This window comes from Homo sapiens, chromosome X, assembly GCF_000001405.40.
Source record: "Homo sapiens chromosome X, GRCh38.p14 Primary Assembly".
NCBI classification, from domain to species: Eukaryota; Metazoa; Chordata; class Mammalia; order Primates; family Hominidae; genus Homo; species Homo sapiens.
Genome location: NC_000023.11, coordinates 7323711 through 7344651, shown reverse-complemented (window position 1 = coordinate 7344651; position 20941 = coordinate 7323711). Strand labels below are relative to the sequence as shown.

Below are 20941 nucleotides of genomic sequence, written 5' to 3'. Positions count from 1 at the left end.
AGAACACCTTCCAGCTTCCTTGAAGTCAGAAAGGCCGCATGGCCCATTCTGGCCAAACGTGAGCAGTATGTGGTATGTCTTTTCCCAGCCACAGCACAGAGGAGCTGTCTCTTCTGCTGGTGACACTCGAGATGATGGGGCCTCTGTCAGGGTGGTCCCTGACAAATGGATGGCAGAACCTTCTCCTCCTAGACCCCCACCTTCCCACCATGACAGGCACTGAACACAGTTATCTCCTGAACCTCTGGCCGTGTCGGAAGACACATTTTGTGGTCATAGCTGCAGTGGGGCAGACTTGCTACTGATACCTGGTAGGGAGAGGCCACGGATGCTGCTCCACAGTCTAGAATCCACAGGGCAGCCTCCAGCACAGAGAATGATCTGGCCCCAGATGTCAATAGTACTAGTACCCAGGTTGACAAGCTCTGTTCTACAGCAAGAGTGAGAATAAATGTTTGCTGGGCTGAGCCCCTGAAATGTCAGGGCTAATAGTTATCATAGCACAAATTCGCCACTCCCTACACATGAACCCTCTGAGAGCTAAGCTATAAAATAAGACAAACTTTATTTTTGATAAAATGAGCCAGAAGCTGGACTGAGACAGACAATCCTCACAAGTCCCAAGGCGTGGTGATAAACTGCATGAATGAATGAACAGCTCTAAAGGACAGGAAAGGCACCAAAGATCCATAGGCAGTATAGAAAAAGCAGAGACAGGTAGAGTTGCTGTGCTCTTCCAGGACAAATATGATGGAGAAGGGGTGGTGCCAGGGGCCCGAAGACTCTCTTGTTCTAGGATGATAGCAATGTCTTTAGAAAAGAGCATTTGCCTTTCTTAGCCTGATGCTATGTGAGACTTGCATAGACAGAGGAGTCCCGGGAGGGGCGGGGGGTGCTGGCGGTAGGCGGGGAAGAGAGAGAGAGAACGCACTAGCTAGAGGGCAGGTGCTTCGGCCAAGGTTTTTCCTGCCACTGACTTGATTAAGGGCATAGCTCTGAGCATCAATAGTTTAGGTTCAACCCCGAGCTCTGCAGTTTCTTACATACGTGATGCTGGGCATAGCTGCTCTCACCTCTCTGTGTCCCAGTCTGCTCCTCTGTTAAATGTTCATAATAATAGTTCTTCCCTGGTAGCATTGCTTTGAGGATTAAAAATTGGTTCCTATATGTGATGCTGTCAGAAGGAGGCTGGGTCTATAGTAGAGACTATACATGAGTTAGCTGTGAACAGAAAGCTGCAGCCAATTTACGCAAGAAACAATTCAGTTTCCATCTGCCCTTCAATCTGTTGCTACTGTAATACATGTCGTAAGACATTTTTTTTTCTGCTAAGGATTCTTAAAGTATATGGAAAACTATTAATAAATCTACATGGTTTCAACACAGTGGCTCTTAATGTATCACTCAGATTTAAACTTCCCTTGATGAATGATGTTCAACTGGTAGTTTTGGCGAGATTTATTTTGGGTGCTTGGAAGACTGCATGTATATATCATAGAAGGTATACACAGATATTTTGGGTTTTCAGTCTTGGCAGCATGTACCTCTGTTGCCATCTTGAAGTTCTTCAAGAACCATTTCACATACTGTTCCATTTTTCCATTGTGAGGAACCCCCACACAAAGAACCCTAGGCCTGCCCCCTCAGTAAGTTTACAGAAAAGTTAATGTCATCCACTGAACTGATGTCTGAAAACCCATCTCATGGTGCCCTCCTACTCCTGCGATCCACCTAAAAAATTGTTCCATACATTACCCTAGTCTCATCCAGATACCCCACACTAATGCCTCAAATCTTTTCTTACACCCAAAGATTTTACAGTGTGTCCATACCTGAGCCTCCATAGATCATGTGTCTTCTAACTTAATACATGCACACTCACCAAAAGCATCTTGGCCCCAAGCTCTGTTTCTGACCCCTGAGGTTCACTGCCATCTGTTTACCATAGCACAAACCCCCTAACTATTCAGCCCTTGGCTGATATATAATCGATGACAGTAGATAAGTTCTGCCTGCTTCCTGCAGCTGGCAGTACCAGAGCTCACGATACAACAACAGTGAGAAGGATGAGGAAGCAGCTCTGGTGGCTGGGTGCATCTGTTTCACAGCCAGCCAATTTGAGAGCAACACAAGCTTTCCCAACTGATGCCTGAGTATTTGAGGACAAAATACTCCCTTTTACCAAGCCTTGGGTTTTGCATATTAAGGGACAGAAATATATAACCTGGAACAAAGTGGGTGTAGGATGTATATGAGACTCTTCCCTCACTTTCCCTTCCTTGCCTCCATATTGATATTCTAGCTGTCCTTCAAAGCCCTGCTGTGTTCTCCTCCATGCACCCATCTGAATTCCCAGCTGGAAGTCACCAGTCTTCCTCTGTTCCTCTCACCACTTTTCATCACTCAGTCAACACTTGAGGTCTCCAATTCTCTGGCTGGATTATTTCCTCTCTGAAGGCAGGGACTATATCTCCCACATCTCCTAAATGTGTAGTGCCTAGTATCTTAGATAGAATAGAGGCCCAATAAAAATTGTTGGGGCCAGGCACAGTGGCCCTCACCTGTAATCCCAGCACTTTGGGAGGCCGAGGCGGGGTGGATCACCTGAGGTCAGGAGTTCAAGACCAGCCTGGCCAACATGGTGAAACCCCGTCTCTACTAAAAATATAAAAACTAGCTGGGCGTGGTGGTGGGCGCCCGTAATCCCAGCTACTCGGGAGGCTGGCACAGGAGAATCGCTTGAACCTGGAGGTGGAGTTTGCAGTGAGCCGAGATCGTGCCATTGCATGTCAGCCTGGGCAACAAGAGCAAAACTCCATCTCAAAAAAAAAAATTGTTGGATAAATTTAAAAAAAAAAAGAGATGATGGTTATTAGGAGGAAGGGATGGAAAGAGAGGGGAGGAACCAGCTGTCATTATGAAATCCAGGGTGAGCAGACAAGAAGCCAAATACACTCCACAGTCCCCTCGGGACCTACCCGGAGCATCCTGCCTGAAATCACACAATGGCTCTGCACCATCTCCAGCCTGAAGGACCAACAGACTACTGTGAGGCACTGGAGATTACTGTCTGATCATGGCAGATAACGGAGTGAGGAAGGCAGAGAGCTTGGAAGTACATTTGCTTTGGGATTGCTTGGTGTCAAAAATGGGCAGTCATCAGGAATTGTGCAGGGGGCATAAGTCATTTGGCCCCCAGGAAAGAACATTCATGGAGAGGGAGGAGGGCAGCTGAGAGGACGAGGACCAGGCATGGAGCCAGTGGAAGGAGTATGAGACCTGATGATGCCAAGGATGTCCACATTTGGGGAATAAGAGGATGTGGATGAATCGTGGACTCAGTGCATGGGGGCACAGAGATGTCCAGATACACGGTTAGGTGGAGGAATCATGATTTATAATTGTGAGTAAAAGAACATATTGTCTTAGGGGAAGACATTTCGATTAATGGGAGACAGACTCAAAAGCAAATGGTGTTGGTTGCAAATCCCAACTTGGCCATCAACTTTGCAACTGTATGCCAGTAATGCGACCTTCTACCTCTCTGTCTCCCCATCTATAATTGGGAAAAAATAACACTGGGAGGAGAGATAGCTAGCTGATCCGCCAGCCTCCCACAGTCATTGAGTGTTCCTCTGGGTACATGAACACCCATAACAAAACTCTCCTTTGCAGCCTCCTGTGAAGCTAGGTGTGAACAGGTGACCAACTTCTGGCCTCTGAGAAGAGTCTGACTATCTTCCTTGGGAAGTAGTAGCCATGCACTTTTTTCTTCTCATCTTTCCCATCCGTCCCGCCATTGTATGCGTTTAGGGTAGACACAACCATCATTCACCATGAAGATGAAGCTGTCACATTCTACAGGAGGTGGAAAAGCCGCTTGAAAGATTCTGCACCCCAGAGATTTTGTAGACCATTCGCCTCTGGATGTCACCCATGAGATGGAGATATAAACTTCTCTCTAATGTAAACTACTGTTTTTTTTTATTGTTTTTTGTTACAGCCAAATCTGAAACTAATATAATCATAATCTCTTCTAATGAGATATCAAATACAATGTTCTTGACAAACTGTCGGGCAGACAGTAAATATGCAACAAACATCAGTGTTTACTGTCATCAAGCACGTCTTCAAAAGATACATAATGATCACAAAAAGAGATGACAAATTTCAAGAACATGAGATTAACAAACGGAAACGTCTATAACCACCTACAAAACATTTTTGTACAGAAGATACGAAAGTAAGGAAGACACAAAAAATTGCTAAATATTGCATGCCCTGGTTAGAACTAAAATGTCTATTTAGAAAACACCAGGTCTGAGAGCATATGAAAGCAAATCTGGCGGGGGGTTAGAGACATAAGCAGACATTTCGGGAGAACTGAGAGACACCCCGTGTTGAAGTCAGGGAAAAGAGATGTGTAAAATACTGTAGAAAATCAATGAAACGGTAGGACGGAGAATGCAAGGGGAAAAGATCAGAAGTGACCCCTGGCAAAAAGATCAGAATAAGCTGGGTGCCAAGCTTAGATGGAAGAGGGCATTTGATCATTCAGCCACACCAAGTTTTTTGGCGCTTTTTTTTTTTTTTTTGTATTCAAGAAAGAAAATTCAATTTTGATTTACTTTGTTTCTATAAGGAAGTAAGTTTGCATTGTAGCAAATTATCAAAAGTAATGACCAGGAATTTTTCTTCCACAGTATTAGTGTAATCTTAGATCAGACATACTACAACTTTGGTTGAAAAGTGAACGTTTATCTCAAATATTGTCTGATACTGTCTATAAGGTAATATGAAGTTCCATAAGAAAATATATGTTTAATAGGCTATGTTGGAAAACACAAAATCTATTTATGTGGTGATTTTTTTCCACTGTTGGAAATGACTGTTAGGGGAAGTTAAGCTGTTACTGATGTGTCTAGATGATAATGATATAAAATAAATTTAATAAAAAATTAAAAGTTCTATGAAATCTTTTCTAACCTCATAAATCACTCCTTTTCCTAGATCTCCAAAGCAAATTCTGTTCATCCCAGGACACCATCATCCTGTGTTGCTACAATTACAAGTACAAATGTTGTACCTTGTACTGGGCTTCACAGGCACATGAGTGAAATAATAGCTGCATGCCTGAACTATTAAAAGCTTGTGGCAATGCAGCATTTGAAGTGTTCACAGAGAAAATAAATCCTAAGACTTAAAAGTTATCCTTGAAATGGTTTACATATATGTGCTTTTTCTTAATTGCTACAACAGTTACAGAGTAGGATGAAAATATGTCCTTTCATAAGGTCAGCTGAAACACAGGATAGATCCTGGTGAGCTTAAATTTGGAAATGCTGCATCTCACATTAGGTCAGCTTCAGCCTTCGATATTTCATTTCTGACACTTTAGATCCTAATTCTGAGGATTAGATGAGGAAGGGCATCTGACAAGTACTCACCAAAATTACTAGTGATGATGAAAGCCAAGTGCTGCCTTTCTGATGCTGTTAACTCATAAGTGGCTGTTATGAGAATTTCTTCTCTTTTATTAGGTGTGTTTTAGAGGCAAAATTAATTTTTTAATTAAATGAAAATGCTAGACAGTGAGCCATGCGAGCACTTTTCTTTATGTTACCACGGTAAGCTGGTTTTGATTTTAAACCATTTACTGAGCTTGAAATGAAGGTATCTTTCAGAAAGCCGGAAAGGAACACATTCCTTTGGAATGAATTCCATTACCCTATGGCTGTTTGCTGTAATTTTATTTAATTATTTACTTTTTATTGATGCATATTCAATGTATGTATTTTCAGGGTACCTGTGATCATTTGAAACACTCATATAACCAAATCAGGGAAATTGGGATATCCATCACCAGTTAACATTAATTGATTGTATATTTCACAATAGCTAGAAGAGAATCATTCAAATGTTCCTAGTATTGTCATTTTTAAAATAAAGCTTTATTTATTTATTTTTTGTTGTTGGGAAAAAGTTTCCAACAAACTTGAATAGAATATGGAGCCAGGATTTATGAAACTCTGCTAGTCCAATGTGAGGATGTCTACATCCTTCTCCTAGGGAAATAATGGTATTGGTGCCCCGTTCCCCTAAGTAATTTTTATAGCTTCATGGAGATCCCGTTTCTGACTAAAGTGTGACATTTTAAATATATGTGACTTTCTTGTCTACATGATGCTAAGATTCCATATATGTCTGTACAAAACGCTTTAAGCTGTTAACTATGTACTATATTGCATTGCATTCTAGAATATATCTACAGCTATCCCATGGATTTTGGTATGACCAGCTGGTTTGGGGACTCTCCATTAATGTGAATATTTATCTCACAGACTACAGTCATCAGCTTAAAAATCCTGGAGCCAAGTATCCACCTACCCTCTAAGATCAATTCCATCCATAAAATCAAGTTGTCATTGTGGTGAATTTTTAATAACATTAATTCATATGTCAAACATTAAAGCCAAAATTTTTCATACCCATTGAATGTTAAATTTTAACTCAAAATTCTTATTTTAGTGCAAGAAAAGTTATCCATGTTATAATCATGCTTTCATGAGTTCTTATAAAATGTAATAGGAATAATGATATCAGGTCATAATTAAATTATGTCATTCAATTTACTGAGACAACTAAATTATAGCGAAGACATTATATATAAATTTTAAAAGAGATTCATGTTTTAAAAGGGTGGAAATGAAATCCTAGCATTAAGTTTTTTGAAAATCAGTATTTCATGAGTTTGGAATTATAACATTTAATCCTCTAAGTAATCAAGACAAATGGTAAACTGCATCTTAAAAACATCTGCAGTCAGTTCTACTGATACCAACAAACTGTTGTTAATCTAGGGCTCTGAGGGAGAAAGGCAACCTGTATTTGTTGTGTTTGCCAATTGCCGTGGTGTAAACACCCACAACACAGCCAAATGAAAACAGACAATGGTTTAATAACAAGCTGGCAAGATTTCTGAACGATCAGGAGCTGATTCCAGCATACCACTGCCTGCTACTAAACCCTAATACTACATTTCTTTTTTTCTATTTTCTAATAAAGTATTCTGAGGTCAGGCGACAACCCTCTTATCCCTAAGATTCATGGAATATGTTCCACAGTCTAGTGATTATTGGCAAGCTCCTACCAAAGTCTATCTGAGATGACCTATGCAGTCACACTCAACTATTACTAGTTTAAGATCTGTCTTCCCCAGGTGACAGAAAGCTCCATATGGATGAGAGTCACGTTTTCCTTACGCATCCCTGTATTCCCAGCACATTGTACAGCTAGCAGTGCCTCATGCTCTAAAATGTAAGCTACTCTTCAGCAGGGAACTTTGTCTGTTTTGCTCACTGACAGATGCCAGCGCTAAGACGATATGTTCCACACAGTAGGTGCTCAATACATATTTCTAGGAAAAATGAACACATAAAATACAAAATGACTAAACATGAAGCCATACACAAAAGCCAAGACAGCAAATATGGTTGCTGAGTTTCAGATAGCATCTGAAAAATAAATCATAAATGATTCATAAACGTCTTGTTTTCCTGAGGTCCTTTATCTCGATAAATGATTCTAGCCTTCAGATACTGTGATTTCTCCTTTTTTTGTTACCAGTTCAAGGCAGAAGAGTTGAAGGAATTGCATTCAGAGTCTAAGAAGCAAATTTTATCCCGGGGCCAGTTGCCTATCAGAAACTGGGTCTTGTTTTTCTCACTCCTATTTTCTGTCTCTTCCTGTCCCCTTTCTCTTTACTCCTCCACATAATGTGTTCCTCCAGCCTCTGATCCAATATGTTCCTTCCCGCTTCTCTAACTGGGGATTTGGCTCTATTAAAATACAATTTTGCAAGGTTCAGGACATGATACAGACTTATTCGAACATGCAGTAGTCACAGAAACTTTGTTCTTCACATTTCTTGCCGGCTCCATATGAAAAGAAATTAAGAGTCCTTGAGCTCTCATTTATTACAAAGCTCAGAAGTTGATGCTATAAACTGATCTAAAAAAGAAGGAGTATTCTTATGGAAACTAGGAATTGTGGCCACATGGATGAGATATGTGAATAAAATGCTTCCAGAAGTAAAATCGCAAGCCCATGTTTCTGTTGTTTTTTTGTCTTCTAGAACATATCATGAGAAAACTGCCAGACTTAAAGGAGAAACTCTGAAGCATAAACCTGGTGTGATTTCTGTGGCTAATAGAAAGGTTGTAATTTTATGGAAAAGTTGTAAAAATAAAAGAGAGGCTTTTCTTTAAATGATAAGTCTTGGGTAAATTGGCTAGGTGAGTGGGGAAGAGACAAAGATTTGTTGGAAAATGGAATGGAATCACCCTAAGTTTAAGAAGAAGTTAGCACCTAGGAGGTTATTACACACCCCTCCTTTGGGGCGGGTGGGGGGGGCAGTCCTAGGTTCTAGAAGCAGAGCTCCAAAGCCCCTTAGAGAAAAGGGGAATTTCATTTTACCTCCAAAGAAGGAACTGAAAGTCCAGCCTCAACAGGTACCTCTAGAACATACAATAATTGTGTAAATTGCTCACCACTTACCATTGACTGCCAGGTATCTTAGTGATAGGAATATTACTGTAATTCTAAGTTTCACGCTACCTGACTTCAAACTATACTACAAGGCTACAGTAACCAAAACAGCATGGTACTGGTACCAAAACAGAGACATAGACCAATGGAACAGAACAGAGTCCTCAGAAATAAGACCACACAACTATAACTATCTCATCTTTGACAAATCTGACAAAAACAAGAAATGGGGAAAGGATTCCCTATTTAACAAATGGTGCTGGGAAAACTGGCTAGCCATATGGAGAAAGCTGAAACTGGATCCCTTCCTTACACCTTATACAAAAATCAATTCAAGATGGATTAAAGACTTAAATGGTAGACCTAAAACCATAAAAACCCTAGAAGAAAACCTAGGCAATACCATTCAGGACACAGGCATGGGCAGGGACTTCACGTCTAAAACACCAAAAGCAATGGCAACAAAAGACAAAATTGACAAATGGGATCTAATTAAACTAAAGAGCTTCTGCACAACAAAAGAAACTACCATCAGAGTGAACAGGCAACCTACAGAATGGGAGAAAATTTTTGCAATCTACTCATCTGACAAAGGGCTAATATCCAGAATCTACAAAGAACTCAAACACATTTACAAGAAAAAAACAAACAACCCCATCAAAAAGTGGGCAAAGGACATGAACAGACACTTCTCAAAAGAAGACATTTATGCAGCCAACAGACACATAAAAAAATGTTCATTATCACTGGCCATCAGAGAAATGCAAATCAAAACCACAATGAGATACCATCTCACATCAGTTAGAATGGCAATCATTAAAAAGTCAGGAAACAACAGGTGCTGGAGAGGATGTGGAGAAATAGGAACACTTTTACACTGTTGGTGGGAGTGTAAACTAGTTCAACCATTGTGGAAGACAGTGTGGCGATTCCTCAGGGATCTAGAACTAGAAATACCATTTGATCCAGCCATACCATTACTGGGTATATACCCAAAGGAATATAAACCATGCTGCTATAAAGACACATGCACAAGTATGTTTATTGTGGCACTATTCACACTAGCAAAGACTTGGAACCAACCCAATTGTCCAACAATGATAGACTGGATTAAGAAAATGTGGCACATATACACCATGGAATACTATGCAGCCATAAAAATCAACAACCACACCTAAGATTATAAACCATTTGTTCCTGTATGCTAATTGGAAATGCCACTATAAAACAAGTATTAGAAAACCCACAAGATATCCTGTTCAATTGCACAATTAAAAGAACCCCCAGTTCAGAAAATGAGATAGAACTGAAGAACATTTTAACTTTGCTTTAAATATCTAAATGTAGCAAATATGCATGACGCACAAAATACAGATGCAGTGAGTCACGATCCATCATCTTTAGGCTGGGAAAGTAAGTCAGATAAACATTTAAATGCTCTTCATTCCTTCTCTAGCCTTTAGTGGCTTGCTAGAAGAGTGAGGGGAATGTTTTGAGGACATGCAGAGGAGGTGGCATTTCAGCAGGGCCTGGGGGGCATTGAGGAGTACCCTCCAAGAAGGATGAGGCAAGACATCCTTCCAGGAGAAGAGCCTGCAAGTGTAAGCACAGCAATGCACAGAGCACAGGGGCTGCTTTCTTCAGTGTGAGAGGAGTGCTAGGAAGTGAAGCTGGGCAGCTGTGCATGCAATAAAGCAACCGGCCACAGCGCCCTGTTGAGAACAGGGAGCTTTCTCTGCTGGGATAGAGAAGCTGTGGGTGGTGTTCAGGTGGGTGAATGACATGGCCTTCTGATGTCCTCCTACCTGGACAACTATGTGACCAGAACGAAAAGAGAGGAGGAGGAGGGAAAAGAGGACAAAGCAAAGCATGGGCGCACATTGAGGCACCTGTTGGCCTCCATTGAGCAGAGCCACCTTTTTACCCTTTAGTTTTATCTATTCCCATGGCATAGGTTGCACGGAGCATGAGGAGCGTGGAAAGGTCTGTTTACTCACTGTTCTGAGGGTGCCAGCGCACAGCATTTAAGTAGGCGTTGCAGTAATGGAAGAGAAACTCATGATCGGAGCGTTGGCTTTTTCCTTCAAGCAGGGGCATCAGATCACGTCCATCAATGATCCTGTGGGATAAACAGCCAGGCATCAAGACGTGAATCAGTCCTGTGTTCTCAAATGTCCTTCTGAACCAATAAGAGCATGAGGGAGCTCCAGTCGTAATTAATACAAAGAAGACTGACCCCACCTGGGTGCCCTGTGCAACACACTGATCCCAGCTCTGTCCGTGCATTATCTCATTACATCTGCAAAGAGCACCATGAGCTGGAACTACTGTCATCCCCACTGCACAGATGAGAAAACAGAGGCACAGAAAGGTTAAGTAATTTGCCCAAGGTCATGGGACGAGTAAGAACTGATGGGATTGAAATCCAGCTGATCTGGCATTCATACCCTTATTCTTCCTCTTGCTTCTCCAAAACACAATTTTCTGTCTATTGCCTGATCAAAGGGAAAGCTTTATTCATGACATACAGGCCTGCTGAAAAGATGGGCACCTGACAATTTGGGATTAAAATAAAAAGATACTATATTGCATGAGGCAACTTGGATTCGTAGACTGCAATGAATGCAAATTTCTCCTTAGAATGAATTAATGTATATATAATAATAATGATACCATTAAATAACCAGGGAACGGATTATTCCCAAATGAAAATATATCTCCTCTACTACTGGGTATCTAACTAGGCCAAGAAAATAAGACATATGCAGTTGGTGATGAGCAAAATAAGATTACTTATAGTTTGAAGAAAGGAATAAGGTATAAAATTGTGTTTTGCATTAAACATAAATTAACAGCTACATGAGAAATTGAAGCCATGATACCATTAGGCCATTGCCATCAAAATGAGAGGCAGATAATTATTTTGAAAGGGTGAGTGTTTAACTTGAGGATTTTCTTTCTCTGATTAAAAACACTACATCCCTGCCATCTCTTGTTACAAGGCGTTTAGAAACTGGAAGTTTGGCGTGGCTGTACAATTTTGGTAAGTGTGCTTAAGAGGTCCTATGTCCCTTGAGCTTTCTCCCATGGTTTATTTTGTTGTCACTAAAAACCTATAATGTAATTATAGCCTTGTTGTTAGCACTTCTCCGGTCTCAACCCTTGTTATTAATCATGCACTCTGCAGAAGTCTGCAGACTGAAAATATTCTATTATCATAAGTAAAAATAAGAACAAAAGACTGGCTTGGCTCACTTCTCAAACCAAGGTTCCTGTGAACCACGAGGGGAAGAAAAAGAAACACCGTAGAGAGAGTTCTATTGAGACACAGCGTGTGCCCTGAAATACTGTTTCCATCCCGAAATGGCAGTCATTGTGCGTGGTTCTTTTCAAATTCCTTTCAAGAAAGACTCAGGCCTTTATGAGATCCCAAATAAAGCTGAAAGGAAGGAAGAAGTAAGAGAGGAAGTGGGCAGGCATGAGAATTAGACCAGGAAAAGCCCCCAGTGGTGAAAAGTGACCTGAAGGGGAGAGACGAGGGACAGAGGATTTCTATCCTTCCCCAAGCAGGGAGAATGTCTTTCAATGACTCCCCAAAAGCAAGATGAAATCCCCATTTTCTGGGACACAAGCTAGAATTTTACTTTTTGAATCTGGCTTTTTTTTTTTTTTCCATCTGCCAACAAAATTCATCATGTGATATTGTGATATAAGAACATGAGAGATGGAATTGCTGTCTTAAGATCAGTATTTTTCGATTTTTTTTTTTTTTTAGAGACAAGGTCTTGCTCTGACATCCAGGCTGGAGTGTGGTGGCGCGACCATAGCTCACTGCAGCCTTGACCTCCTGGGCTCAAGCGATCCTCCTGCCTCATCCTCCCAAGTACATGGGACTACAGGTACATGCCACCATGCCCAGCTATTTTTCATTTTTTTTTTTTGGAGCGATTTGCCCAGACTGGCCTTGAACTTCTGGCTTCAAGCTCTCCTCCGGCCTTGGCCAAGATCAGTATTTGATAACTGAAATTGATCATGATTATAGGAAAGGGGGATTTAACTAAAACAAAATAAGACTCCAAGTCTTATAATTATTTTTTCTTACTTAAAAATGAAATATTTGAGGTTTTTTTAAAGGAGGGGCACAAAGTTTATTCTGCAAACTTATTTTTCTATTTTTCTTCCAAAGTGGAGATAGACTTTTTTTTTTTTTTTTTTTTAATATCCCACACCTAACGTGGTCCTTCCTAGAGGCAGGCCATAAATCACGCTGCTATGGAAAGCCACCATTTAACAGTGCTGCAGAAATATGGTCTGTCAAAGGAAGCCTCATTTCTGCCATGAAAAATGGAAAGTGACCCTGTTGAGCTAAACTTTTAAGTGGTGTCTAAGCTATCGAAATATTTGGGATTGTCTTAAACCACTTGTGGGATTCGCAGTTAACTATGGCAATAACCCAGAGAACAGCACATTTCCATTAACGCTGCTAGTACAAAAATGCTTTTAGAATGTCGTGTTCTGGGGGAGATGGGCCAATCCACTTTCAAAGTGACTCAAAGCATTGCTGTTTTCTCTGGAAACAGTCTAACGGGATTTTTCTTGCAAACTAATTCAAGTTTTTGTAGCATGTTTGCATAACAGCCAATGCTAAAAAAAACTGAATGTGTTTTCTGCCCTAGTGCCCTCATGGCTCTTGGTGGAAAAGGGAGTGTTTGGGAGTGTTTTTAATTTGGAAGGTGAAATTATTCTCCTTGGGTTCCTGACTGACAATGATGGTAGCGCTATTAACAGGTTGTTTGCAAGGTACCCTTGTGTCAAAATTTCAGGTCAAGTTAAATACCATACAGACAATTTTTACATAATTAAAAAGGGCATGTTCTGGAAACCTTCCCTGAACCCTATTGACGTCATTCCTCCAAGAATGTGCTGTGCTCTCTCTCAGCTCTGAGGCTTTCAACATCCTCGTCCCTCCACGTGGGATGTCCTTCCCACGCGCCCTTTGCCTGGCCAAATTGCCAGGCCAAGGACTGAAGGATCATAAGAGAAAGAAAAGGTTTGGGGTGATACAGAAGGTAAGGTCTTGGAGACTAACAGAGAAGCTTATTTGGGGCACAATGTTGGTGAGCAGCTTATTTGATATACAAATGGCAATGATTTCAATGTAGACAGTCATAGTTAAGGAAACATCTTTAGGAGAAAGTACATATATCTGTAATAAATTAAAGGGAATCTTAAGTATTCAGAAAGTTATTATCACAATTCAGAAAAATATGTTTCCATTTGTAAACATTAAACCCTCTGCCATAGTTGAACAGAAAGCAAGATCAGTATAAGTGGTTACACACACAAACTTGGGATTGTTCCCATGAAGAGAGTCACCTTTAGTTCTGCAAAACTAATGTAAAGCAGATACAGCTCACTGACTTTTTCATCTGTATCACTCTATTGAAAAGGTCTTCTCTAGTGGCTCAACTGTAAGTCAGCAAAAGTTACTGGGAGAAGTCAGCTAAATCCATTCCTTGTCTCCATTAGACAAAAGTGTGTTAAGCATTAAAGCATTAATTTGTTTTTGTAACTTTAAAAAATGAAGTCAAATTTTGTTTTAATTATGGACCACAAGCTCTAAATATTTCACCTCTAAAATTTGATTCTTGAGGTTGCCAGCACTCTGTTTCCTTGCATCCCAGCTGAAGGGTCTATGGTTAAAATGTTGATGTTTTCCAAAAGGTGTAACCAACTATGGCTTGTTGCCATTCTCTATTACTGATGTTAATACCTTGTTAGGAAGGGGCATGGTCATACTCATACTATGGCAATATTGTATCTGCTTGCAAAGATGAGACCCACAGAAAGAATTTTCATGTTAATGAATTAATACATTTAGATATTCGATTCTTCTTTTTTGTAAGTCCTTGTTGCTGCCTTTTGTAACACAAAAGGTTGTCCTCCATTTATTTCCAAAATCAGCTTATTTGGAGACCTGGAGGGAAATAATTTTTCTGAATATGCCCAGGGTGATGGACACTGAAATTTCTTCTGATAAGTCATGCCACTGAATGAAAATGAATCACTAACGTGCATATGAAGGAAAAATTCACTGCCAGAGAGAAATCTCACGTAAGCACATCATAGGGTTGAATTAGAGAATTATTCTCACTGCAGTGTTAAGATGCTGCAAAACAAAAACAGAACAACAACAACAACAACAACAATCTTTCCTGTGTTCCTCCGGACTACCTTTCTTTTGGCTTAAGTAGAAACCTTGGATCCACGGGCTTCTGATCTCCCACCATGCTTTGATTGGCCATGAAGGACTCCCACTAGATCCAAAATGCTTCCTGAGAATTACAGGACAGTGCGTGAAGAATGGAGGTCTGCTGAACAGAAGTTATCTTCTTCAAACAAAACGCAGAAAGAAGCAAAGGCACTTTGTTAAGTGCTCATCAAACAGCTTGGGTCCAACCGTCTGAATGAGTTTCTTCTCCTGAGAAATGCAAATTTAATATCTCTCTAGCAGGGAGCTGAGAAAGCTTATTTGCACCACTCTGAGCAGGAAGGAGTTAAGACTATTTTCTAAAGGGCAGACATCTGTGTATCACATTTATAGATGGATATAGATGTGAGGGTATTGTCTAGATGCTTTTATTGAAAAGTTTTGATGGGATTTTCCATTATAACAACATTTTCCATAAAAGAGCAATAATAAATTTCAGGGTAGGATTTCTCGACGTCAGCACCGCTGACATAATGGGTAAGATAATCATTGCAGTAGGGCTCTGTGCTGTGTGTTGCAGGATGTTTAGTAGCACCCTGAGCCAAGACAATAAAAAATGTCTCCAGGCATTGATAAGTGACCCCTGGGGGAAAACACTACTTTAGATATTCAAAGTCTTCTGGACAAATACATAAGAATATTACTGTACCTGGTTGGCAATATGCTTTAAATAAGGTACTGTGTGATAATTCTATTCCCATAAGGCACTTGGAAGCACATTTCTGTTTTCTAACCTGTGCTGTCTCTAGGATGACAAAGGCATTTTACAGCTGGACTAGTACCAGGAGCTAGGACCTCAACACAGAAGCAACATCTGTGGTTTAAAACCAGGTCAACTGGCCGGGCGTCGTGGCTCATGCCTGTAATCCCAACACTCTGGGAGGCCGAGGTGGGTGGATCACCTGAGGTCAGGAGTTCAAGACCAGCCTGGCCAACATGGTGAAACCCCATCTCTACTAAAAATACAAAAATTAGCTGGGCGTGATGGTGCGCACCTGTATTCCCAGCACTTTGAGAGGCTGAGGCAGGCGGATCAGCTGAGGTCAGGAGTTTGAGACCAGCCTGGCCAACATAGTGAAACCCCGTCTCTATTAACAATGCAAAAAATTAGCCAAGCATGGTGGTGCACGCCTGTAGTCCCAGCTACTCAGGAGGCTAAGGCAGGAGAATCGCTTGAGCCTGGGAGGTGGAGGCAGAGGTTGCAGTGAGCCGAGATTGCACCACTGCACTCTAGCCTGGGCAAATGAGCAAGACTCTGCTCAAAAAAAAAAAAAAAAATGAGGTCAGCAAGCACCTCTGAGGTCCATGAAAGGAATCAGAAACAGAGGGGAATCTTCAATATTGAGAGTTGGTTCTACTGATGACACAAACCCACACACAAAATCCTTGGGTCTTCTAAGAGGGAGGCTGTTATCTTCTTCATTGAGCACATAGAAGAAACACAGATTGGCCTCCATCAGCCTCAGACTAGAGTGGCTAGAAGGTAGAAGCAGTAAGATTTCCCTTTATGAATCTTCCTCTTTGCCTCTGAACTTTTTCCTTACCTTGCTTTTCCCCCACTGGGTAGAAAACCATTCCAAGATATTATGAAAGTGAAGAGCAGTGATGGTTTTAACATTATGGGTGATGAGAGACAAACGTAATAAATGAGATTGGCTGAACACTCTGTTCTAGCTACTTGAGGAAGTATTAACCTTTATTCCAAAGGTAAGAACTACAGCCAAGGAGGAGGTGAAATAGAGAATGGGATTTTTGGCTTTATATAGGAAAAACTTTCTGAGACACTGCTGCCATGTTTTCCATCACTAGAGTGTTAAAAAAGAATAGTTTGACTGGAGTAGGAGATCTTACAATTCCCCTTTTGGCCTCATACTCTATGATTTTATGACCTCGGATGAATATTAAATGTGGAAGAGGAAAGAACTGTACTAATAATGTACATCTGACTACTACCTCAAAATGATAGGCAAAACAAGAAATGGCAAACATTCATGCCTTCTTTGTACTGAACATTACAGGCAAGGAGGTTTTTAATCCTCCTATTGATCCTGTAAAGTCAGTGTTATTATTGAACTTATTTTCCAGAGAAGGAGTGAAGGCCCAGGAAAGTTCAACGCTTACCCTGCAGTGATGACAAGAATATGAACTCAGCTGGGCTCAGTGGCTCAAGCCTGTAATCCCAGCACTTTGGGAGGTCGAGGCAGGAGGATTTCTTGAGCTCAAGACTTCAAGACCAGCTTTGGCAACATGGTGAAACCCTGTCACTACCAAAAATACAAAAAATTAACTGGGCGTGGTGGTGCATGCTTGTGGTCCCAACTACTCGGGAGGCTGGGGTGGGAGGATCGCTTGAGCTTGGGAGTCGCAGGTTGCAGTGAGCTGAGATCGCGCCACTGCACTCCAGCCTGGGTGACAGAGTGAAACCCCCATCTCAAAAAAAAAAAAGAAAAAAAAAAAGAATATGAATTCAACCAGTGCAGGTCTAGAAAGGTCTAGAATCTCCACTCTTAGCCATAGCACCCACTAGTCTCAAAGCGTGATCCAGAGACTCTCTGGGACCCTTTCAGGAGGTCTGCGAGGCCAATGTTATTTTTATAACAATAGGAAGGCACTCTTTGTCTTTCTCACTATCACCTTTTTAGGAGTGTACAATGGACATTCCTTGTGGCCACAGGGTAAATGATGACATCATCGATGTATTAGCCAATGGAATGTGAGCTTGGAGTACTTTGGTGCCTTAAAAAATTTCATTTTTTATTACTAATATAATAAGCGTCGCTCAATACAATCCACATCAGGAAAAGATCACTGGGGTCCTCGATCATGGAAGAATGAAAAGGGGTTTTGAGACCTCAAAGTTTGAGAATAGTTGAACTGTCAACGCTGCATTTCTCATTGGTGTGTGTGTCTGTGTGTGTGTTGAGGAAGGGTGTATACCTAAAGCAGAGTTGAAACCAGTAAGGAAACAAGGTCGAATACAGCGGGAGGGGAGGAAACCCATCTCTGGACTTGCTTTGGCAGCGTGGCTGTTTTTGTCTTTCCTTTCCCCTTTCCTCTTCCTTCTCATTACAGCTGAATTTAAACAAGATTTGCAGCCGCCTGCGTGACATTCGCCTGGTCTGTCACCAAACTAATGAAAACAATTAATCAGTGTGCTTCACTTAAAACTCTTCAGATTGGTAATAACACTTAGGAAGAAACCACTGGCAATGTCATATGAAGTCGTATTTAAATTTAAGAGAAAGACATTTCATTTAGAACTTCTCAGTGAAGACGTGCTGGGAAATGGGGCCTTAGCTGGGGACCCGGCTGCATTTCTCCCTGTTACAGCAAAGGGCTGCTGAGTGTGGACAAAGGAAAAGGTGTGGGATCCCAAAGTTGGAGGTCAAAGAGGTTGTGGCCAAGCTGCACAATGGCAAGCTACGGTGGGGTGAACAGACGAGAAGAGCGTCAGCACGATGCCGAAAGACCAAGGCTGAATTAAACACCACCCGTCCACATTCCTGGTCACTAAAAACCTTCAGTGCCTCTGAGTTTATTTCCCTCTGGATAAAGAGATTGGCAGAGGGGTTTTTACATTGGCAAACCCACCAGTAAGGCCCCAGACCGGACAGAGATAACAAGTACAGCTGGAGGCATCGTGACACTCCAAACCGAGGGCCTCAGCAGTGGCCTCAGTGCAGTTTTCCTCTGACTTTCTCCTGCCCTCCTGTCTCTCAGTCCCACTCTACCCCAAGGCGCCAGAGAAACTAGAATCCCTCTTCCCCAATGCAGGTCGTAAGAACCAAAACCCCTGATCCCCAAAGCCAGCATCAAACCTAAAAATATGACTCCAACTTTCCCCCTGCCTTTCTGTGTAAAAACTGCCCATAAATAAATCCTCTGACCTACTTTGTTTGACTGTAGGTCATAAGACCCCCGTTCCAGAGAGGGCCCTGCCCCATGCCCAGAAGGAAGGAAAACTGCTCAGAGAGGCCAAGAAGCATCTAGATAGACAGGCCTGGCTGGGTTTCCCCACTCAGTCCGTTAGCATGAGGTCAGACCTTTCCCTCCAATCCTACTTCTACACACTGCCCATACTTTGCTGAACCACAGCAAAAAAATGAACAATTTCCCCTGTATCTTTGGGTCTTCCTTTGGAAGCCTGCTGTGTACACATTAAGTAAATGTATATGCCTTTTATCCTATTAATTGACCTGCCTCAAACCTGTGATTTTCAGGAAAACTCCAGGGGGCCAAAGGCCTTGGTCCCCACACCATTATGCAGGCAAACCAGAGCATACTGGGCTGTGAAATCAGAGCTCAACAATACCAACCACCCTGGCATCAGAGTACCTGTCCTCAGGCAAGGGAGCTCCAGCCAGCTTGGCTACTGTAGGAAATATGTCCATGTTGCTAGTGGGCTCATCAATCTTCTGGCCAGCCTGTATCACCCTGGGCCAACGAAGGATGCCTGGAACCCGGATACCTCCTTCCCAGTTGTTTGCTTTTCCTCCTAAAAGATCAAAAAAGAGGTAAGAGGCAACAGGGAGATTTCAATCCTTTCAATGCTCACTTCAATGGACTCTTTCGTGCTCAATGTAGAAGAACCAACTGCTCTAATTACATAGATTCCATCTATGAGTATTCCATGAGCAATATAGTATATGTTGTATTGAAAAAAGGAATATATATGATACAGTCACCACCATATGTGACATGGTCAGCACTGTATGGCATCTTGAACAAAAACTTTGTAATCAGAGGGACTCAACGCAACAAAGATTTGAGTCACCAAAGATTCAAATCAATGACTCTGGAGTCAGGGAATTCAAGTTCCATTTCTACTTTACACCAGCTGTGGCAGGCAAAATAATGGTGCCCCCAAGTGTCCGCATCCAAATTCCTGGAGCCTGGAGCCTGGGGAAATGGGTATTTTGCCTTATATGGCAAAAGGGACTTTAAACATGTGACTAAGGATTTTGAGATGAGGAGATTACCCTGCATTGTCTGAGTGGATCTAATATAATCATAGGGTTGTAAACCAAAAATAAAATTCTAAGCCCCTCGACTAACAGAATAGACACCTCCTCTCAGCAAAGGGCATTCTAAAGGTTTAACCTGAAACACTAGTTCAGTCCATGATGGAAACAGGGGATTGGACATGCCTCATTTTACCCTCCTTCTTTTGGAATTCAGGTACAACTGACCAGCATTAGCATTAAAACACAGACCTTAAGACTGACAAAACAGACTGTTTGTAGCCATAAGATACCAACACGACAGATAGCAGGCCCTGATAGAAATTGAAGTAGTTTACCCCAAAATATATTTATTTGACATATTTCAAAATAGCCCCACAAAGCTGTCTCTTGTGCAGAAAATCTACATTCTGTAGACAATCTCCTTCTCTTTTGGGGTCTTCTCCCTGATCCGGGAGAGAACTGACCAAGAGTCTGGTATCTTTTAAAGTCTGATAAGAAACACGTACAATCTGTTCTCTCTGAAGCCTGCTACGTGGAGGTTTCATCTGCATCATAAGAACCTTGGCCTCCACAACCCCCTTATTTTAACCCAGACACTCCCTTCTATTGACTGCAGGTCTTTAAATCAACTCTTTCAACCAACTGCCAATCAGAAATTCTTTGAGTCCACCTATGACCTGAAGCCTCCTCACCCCCCACCCCCCGATTTTGACTCATGCTACCTTTCCAGACTGAACAATGTACATCTTACATATATTGACTAATGCTGTATGTCTCCCTAAAATGTATAAATCAAGCTGTAGCCAGAACAACTTAGGTACATATTCTTAGGATCTCCCGGGGCTGTGTCAACTTGGCTCAGAATGAATCTCTTCAAACGTTTTACAGAGTCTGACTCTTTTTGTAGACAGGGTTCTTTCAAGGGAAAGAGGGAGTCAGAGAAGTGGAGGGGTGTAATCACAGAGAGAGGCTGGAAGATGCTATGCTGCTGACTTTAAAGGCAGAGAAGGGCACCCCAAGCCCAGGAATGCAGGCAGGCTCTAGAAGTTGGATAAGGCAAGGAATAAGATTCTCCCCTAGAGCTTTCAGCAAGAAACATAGCCCTGCCAACACCTTGAGGACCCATTTAATTCATGGTTATTCCCAAAGGAAAATAAAT

General features: G+C 41.6%; 1 protein-coding gene across 7 annotated transcripts in view; it reads right to left on the bottom strand.

Annotated features, from left to right (window-relative positions):
* Positions 1-20941, bottom strand: part of STS (steroid sulfatase) — a 207352-nt gene that overhangs the window by 9990 nt on the left and 176421 nt on the right. For all 7 annotated transcript variants that reach the window (NM_001320750.3, NM_001320751.2, NM_001320752.2 and 4 more), the window contains 2 exons: positions 19154-19313; positions 10545-10666 (listed from right to left, as the gene is read on the bottom strand). In NM_001320750.3, the coding sequence (NP_001307679.1) occupies positions 10545-10666; positions 19154-19313 (282 nt within the window). The remainder of the gene's footprint in view (positions 1-10544; positions 10667-19153; positions 19314-20941) is intronic.